Raw genomic sequence first — 6313 nt, 5'->3', positions numbered from 1 at the left:
GCTGGTGGCTCACGCCTGTAATCCCAGCACTTTGGGAGGCCGAGGCGGGCCGATCACGAGGTCAGGAGATCGAGACCATCCTGGCTAACACAGTGAAACCCCGTCTCTACTAAAAATACAAAAAAAATTAGCCGGGCGTGGTGGTGGGTGCCTGTAGTGCCAGCTACTCGGGAGGCTGAGGCAGGAGAATGGCGTGAACCCGGGAGGCGGAGCTTGCAGTGAGCCGAGATCGCACCACTGCACTCCATCCTGGGCGACAGATTGAGACTCCGTCTCAAAAAAAAAAAAAATGGAAGAAGGGGAGCTTCCACAGTTACCGGTTGTAGCTTAATCCTAGAAAGCACTTGGGCATTAAATAGTCAGGTAAACCACGCACACATCCAATGTTCCAGTGATTCCATTTCTAGTCATAGTTCTTAGAGAAATACTTTGCCAAGTGCATAAAGAGAGAGGAAAAGACTTTTCATAGTAGCACCTTTTGTAATATTAAAAACCAGGAATAGAGCGGGGTGCAGTGGTAGTCCCAGCTAGTTGGGAGGCCGAGGCAGGAGGATCACTTGAGGCCAGGAGTTCGAGGCTGTGGTGTGCCATGATTGTGTTTGTGAATAGCCACTGCACTCCAGCCTGGGCAGCATAGGAAGACTGCATCTCTAAAACCAAAACCAAAACCAGGAATTAACCTAAAAGTTCATTGACAGAGTGGGGCACAGTGCCTCACACCTGTAATCCCAGCACTTTGGGAGGCCGAGGCAGGTGGATCACTTGAGGTCAGGAGTTGGAGACCAGCCTGGCCAATGTGGAGGAACCCCACCTCTACTAAAAATACAAAAAAATTAGTCAGGAGTGGTGGCGTGTACCTGTAATCCCAGCTACTCAGGAGGCTGAGGCGGGAGAATCACTTGAACCCGGGAGTCGGAGGTCGCGGTGAGCCGAGATTGCACCATTGCACTCCAGCCTGGGCAACACGAATGAAACTCCATCTCAAAATAAATCCATAAATAAATAAAATAAATATTTAAAAAATTAATAAAATAAAATATTGAGTGAAAAGAGCAAATTGCAGGATGATATGTACCTTATGAGAATATTAAGATTTATTTTTAGTGTGCAAAATTACACTAGTCACGTTCATGGATGGGTGAGAGTTTATACACATAAGAATGTAGAAAAATGCGTGACTGGAGGAGGTCAAAGGCCACTGTACCTTGACTTCCAGTATTTCCATTCTTACTTACAAAACAAAACAGGCCTGAAGCAAACATGAGAAGGGTTAAGCACCGCTGGTCCTGTGTGGAGGAAACACAGGTGCTTGCTATATTTGTCTTTGCACTTGTCTTTCCTTTTTACTTTCCTCAAAATTAGAAAAAAAAAATGTTTATAACAAAGAAAGTTATGGAGGATTTAAATAGGTGGAGAGGAAGCAGGAGTGTGTTCCAGCAGAGGGACCAGCTTCAGCAAAGGCTTGGGGGCAGCAGTGAGCACGGCCTTTGGGAGATAAGAAAACCTATTGCAGAGGCTGGGCATGTTGGCTCATGCCTGTCATCCTAGCACTTTGGGAGGCCAAGGTGGGAGGAACGCCTGAGATCAGGAGTTCAAGACCAGCCTGGCCAACATGGTGAAACCCATCTCTACTTAAAATACAAAACTTAGCCAGGCGTGGTGGCATGCACCTGTAATCCCAGCTACTACTCAGGAGGCTGCGGCAGGAGAATCACTTGAGCCTGGGAGGCGGAGGTTGCAGTGAGCCGAAATCACACCACTGCACTGCAGCCTGGGCGACAGAGTGAGACGCTGCCTCAAAAAAAAAAAAAAAAAAAAAAAGGAAAAAACAAAACCTACAGCAATTGTTCTATGTCCTGAGGGCACACTTGAATCCTTTTCCCAGCCCCCAGCTCTAGACCGATTCATTCATAATCTCCAGTGGAGGGGAGGGATGGAAGGTGTTGGTTGGAATTTGAAACTCCCTGGGTGATTGTAAGCACCAGGGCAGGACTAGGAGCCATGAGATACACGGTCTAGTGCAGTAGCCACTTAAAACATGTTTGCTGAGTGGTGACTGAATAATGCAGGGAGAGTGAAAATGAAGGCTACAGGGACAGGCTGGCAGGGGCCAGCCTGTAGTTGGGACTTGGGAGGGGTTAGGCAGTCCAGATCCAGTTCCCTTAACTGTGCTTAACAAATTACAAATATTAGCCTAAGAGAATTCCGGGTGATAAAAAATGTTCTAAAGAAAATACAAGCGCTGGGTGCGGTGGCTCACGCCTGGAATCCCAGCACTTTGGGAGGCCGAAGTGGGTGGATCACCTGAGGTTGGGAGTTCGAGACCACCCTGACCCACACGGAGAAACCCCATCTCTGCTAAAAATACAAAATTAGCCAGGTGTGGTGGCACATGCCTGTAATCCCAGCTACTCGGGAGGCTGAGGCAGGAGAATGGCTTGAATCCGGGAGGCGGAGCTTGCAGTGAACCGGAGATCATGCCATTGCACTCCAGCCTGGGAAACAAAAGCGAAACTCCGTCTCAAAAAAAAAAAAAAAGAAAATACAAGCACCAGGTATGGTGGTGTGCTAGCTACGTTCCAGCTACGGGGGAAGCTGAGGCAAGAGGATTGCTTGAGTCCAGGAGTTCAAGGCTGTAGTGAGCTGTGATCATGCCACTGCACTCCAGCCTGGGCGACAGGGGACCCTGTCTCATAAAAAAAAAGAAGATTATGATGATGATGTGATAGAAAACAACTTCGTAGCTTCTTTAGTCAGGGCGGTCCGGGAGGGCTTCCTGGAGGAGGTAACATTGGAGCTAAGCCCTAAAGGTTGAGAAGCTAGCCCTAAAGATGGCAAAGGATGGGTGTAGTGGTGCGCGCCTGTAATCCCAGCTACTAGGTAGGCTGAGGCAGGAGAATTGCTTGAATCTGGGAGGCGGAGGTTGCAGTGAGCCAAGATCGCGCCACTGCACTGCAGCCTGGGCAACAGAGCGAGACTCTGTCTCAAAAAAAAAAAAAAAAAAAAAAAAGAATGGGAAAGGAGGACCAGGCAGAGAGAACAAGCAAACAGGCAGTTCCAGCACAGGGTGACCAGGGCTGTTTTGGGGGATGCCCAGGGTGTCAGAAGATCTGAGGGGTGGGCCTGGTTCAGGCACAGGTCAGGCAAGGCTTCCGGAAGGAGGCAGCTGGAATCCAGGTCTGACTTATCTCTGTCCAGCCCTGTCACTGTGAGCAGAAAGGCCACCACCCCGCCCCCAGTGTCCCCGAGGGAAATGGCACCTGAATCAAGGCGTTTATTTTTTTCCAAGGGAGTGAAAGTGAACATGATCATCTCTCCATCCATCCGCTTTTTAAATTTAGCCCAGTGCACATGGAACTTGGTTCAGGAAAAACAAGAAGTTATAAAAATATAATTCCATTCTTCATCACGGGCAGCAGAGGGAGCGAGGCGGGGAGAGACAGGGGAATTCAGAGGATGGGGAAGGCAGAAAACTCAGAAACAGCTTCAGAGGCAGGGCTGCCTAGAGGGGAAGGTCCAAGGCCCCAGCCCCAGGCAGGCATCAAACTCACCTCCTGCCCTGCCCTCTACATAGGTCCCACCTCCTGCCTCGTCTCCATCCTTCCCTCCCCTCTGCCCAAGGGCTCTTCCCCAGCCTCTCCCACCTTCTCCAGTCCCGCCCCCAACAGCTGGGACCAAACTGGCCAATCTAAAATCTAGAATCCGACCAGGCGAGGTGGCTCACACCTGTAAACCCAGCACTTTGGGAAGCCAAGGCGGGTGGATCACCTGAGGTAAGGAGTTTGAGACCAGCCTGGGCAACATGGTGAAACCCCGTCTCTACTAAAAATACAAAAATTAGCTGGGTGTGGTGGCACATGCCTGTAATCCCAGTTACTCAGGAGGCTGAGGCAGGAGAATCCCTTGAACCCAGGAGGTGAAGGTTGCAGTGAGCAAAGAGATTGCACCACTGCACTCCAGCCTGAGTGACAGAGTGAGACTCTGTCTCAAAACAAACAATTATATATGTTTCCAGCCATGAGGCTGGAACTGCCAGGAAGACAGGGCCAAGTCTGTTTTTTGTTTGTTTGTTTGTTTTTCTGGCTGTAAGTTTATTCAGTGCAAACTAATCCTCTCCAATTTTACCGAGGTGGCTGACCATGTCCACCACCAAATCCACCTCTAAACTGGAATTCGGTTGCTGGCCCAGCCCCAGCCTTGGCTTCCTGGCCAGCACCAGGGGGCACAGCGCCCCACCTGTGGGTCTCTGTCAGCTTCCCCTCTTGGGAGTCTTGGAGGGCACTCACCCTCCAGACGTTTAGGCCAAGGTCTACCAGTCTCTGGACGGCTGCGGCATAGAGTGGCAGGCACACTCTCTGAGGGCAGCTGGAGGTCATCATGGAGACACTAGATACCCTCATTGGTAAGGTACCAGTAGAAACGTCTCCAGTTGGCCAGGCATGGTGGCTCACGCCTGTAATTCTAGCACTTTGGGAGGCTGAGGCGGGCGGATCACAAGGTCAGGAGTTCGAGACCAGCCTGACCAACATGGTGAAACCCCTCCTCTACTAAACATACAAAAATTAGCCAGGCATGGTGGTGGGTGCCTGTAATCCCAGCTACTCAGGAGGCTGAGGCAGAAGAATCACTTGGACCCGGAAGGCGGAGGTTGCAGTGAGCCGAGATTGCGCCACTGCACTCCAGCCTGGGCGACAGAGCGAGACTCCATCTCAAAAAAAAAAAAAATGTCTCCAGGCAAATTGTTCCTTCACATGACCTCATGATCTGAGAGACTGTTTGGCCTTTATGACGTGTAGGTTGGGCACATTCCTGTCTGCCAGCTCTGGGTGCTTAGGCAGGTGGGCATCCTTCTTGGCCACCATGACTCCCTCCTTAAAAAGGAGTTCATAGACTGGGCACGGGGGCTCACACCTGTAATCCCAGCACTTTGGAAGGCTGAGGCGGGGGGATCACTTGAGGTCAGGATTTCGAGACCAGACTGGCCAACATGGTGAAACCCCGTCTCTACTAAAAATATAAAAATTAGCCAGGCGTGGTGGCGGGCACGTGCAATCCCAGCTACTCAGGAGGCTGAGGCTGGAAAATCACTTGAACCCAGGAGGCGGAGGTTGCAGTGAGCCGAGACCACACTATTGCACTCCAGCCTGGGCGACAAGAGCAAAACTCAAGTCACAGAAAAAAAAAAAAAGAGAGAGAGAGAAGTTCATAAATGGCAATCCGGTTCTCCTCAGCCATCAACATCTCTGCAACTGTCAGGGCCGGGGCTGGAAAGGGGGCCGAGTCTGCTTTTGTCTCCACTGCTTCTTTCCCGAGTACATGAATCTCCGGCTACCACTGAATCTCTCTGTTCTAGGCTCCGGGGTCCCTAAGACCCCTGAGTCTGGGGTCAACTCTGCTGAAGTTTGGAGGGCCATGGTGGGGATACCTTCTCAGCCAGAAAAACACAAGATCCCAAATATCAGCACCCCCCTTTCTTGAAACCCCCCAGACCCTGGACAGCAGGTCTGGATCCTGTCTGTCAGCTTCATCTCTGTTGCTAGGCAACCCCAGTGCTCTCCTCCACCCCCATCTCCCTGCATTCACACTTATTTCTTGGTGAAACAGACAAGCTCTTCCCAGCCGCCTCACCCCAAGTCTGTGCACCCCTGGGCACTCTCTCAGAACAAATTTGCCCTCTGGATGAGGGTCTCACACAAAGCTGGCCCCTCCCCACCTCCCATCCTCCCATTCCGCCTCCTGGGAATATATATATATAATTTTTTTTTGAGACAGAGTCTTACTCTGTTGCCCAGGCTGCAGTGCAGTGGCACGATCTCAGCTCATTGCAACCTTCGCCTCCCAGGTTCAAGTGAGTCTCCCGCCTCGGCTCCCCGAGTAGCTGGGATTACAGGCATGTGCCACCATACCCAGCTAATTTTGTATTTTTAGTAGAGATGGGGTTTCACCACCCGCCTCAGCTTCCCAAAGTGCTGGGAGTGAGCCACAGCGCCCGGCCACCTCCTGGGAATGGGAATAGATGTCTATAGTAGTTCCCATGCTTCCAATTTCCCATGTTCTAAAGTCAGAAGCACCTTCCCTATGTTGGCTGGCTTCACTGTCACCCATGGAGGTGGCACAGCCATTGTTGCTACACAGAGGAGGACACTGAGGCTCCGAGATGCAGAGTTGACTGCCCCCAATCGCACAGCAAGGGTTGGGCTGCTGAACTCAAATCCGGAGCCCTGTGGGGACTCCCACTCAAAGCCGCAGGGGGTCCCAGGCCAGGTGCTGTGTGACCTCGGGGAGGCCCCTTTCCCTCTCTGTTCCTCCCCAG

The 6313-nt window shown here is 51.3% G+C and overlaps 1 pseudogene; it reads right to left on the bottom strand.

Moving 5' to 3' along the window:
- LOC100287614 (ribosomal protein S10 pseudogene) lies at positions 4076 to 4889 on the bottom strand (annotated as a pseudogene).

This window comes from Homo sapiens, chromosome 19 (assembly GCF_000001405.40).
Source record: "Homo sapiens chromosome 19, GRCh38.p14 Primary Assembly".
Taxonomy (NCBI): Eukaryota; Metazoa; Chordata; class Mammalia; order Primates; family Hominidae; genus Homo; species Homo sapiens.
Note: the sequence above shows the minus strand (reverse complement) of the source record. Positions and strands in the feature narration are given on the sequence as shown.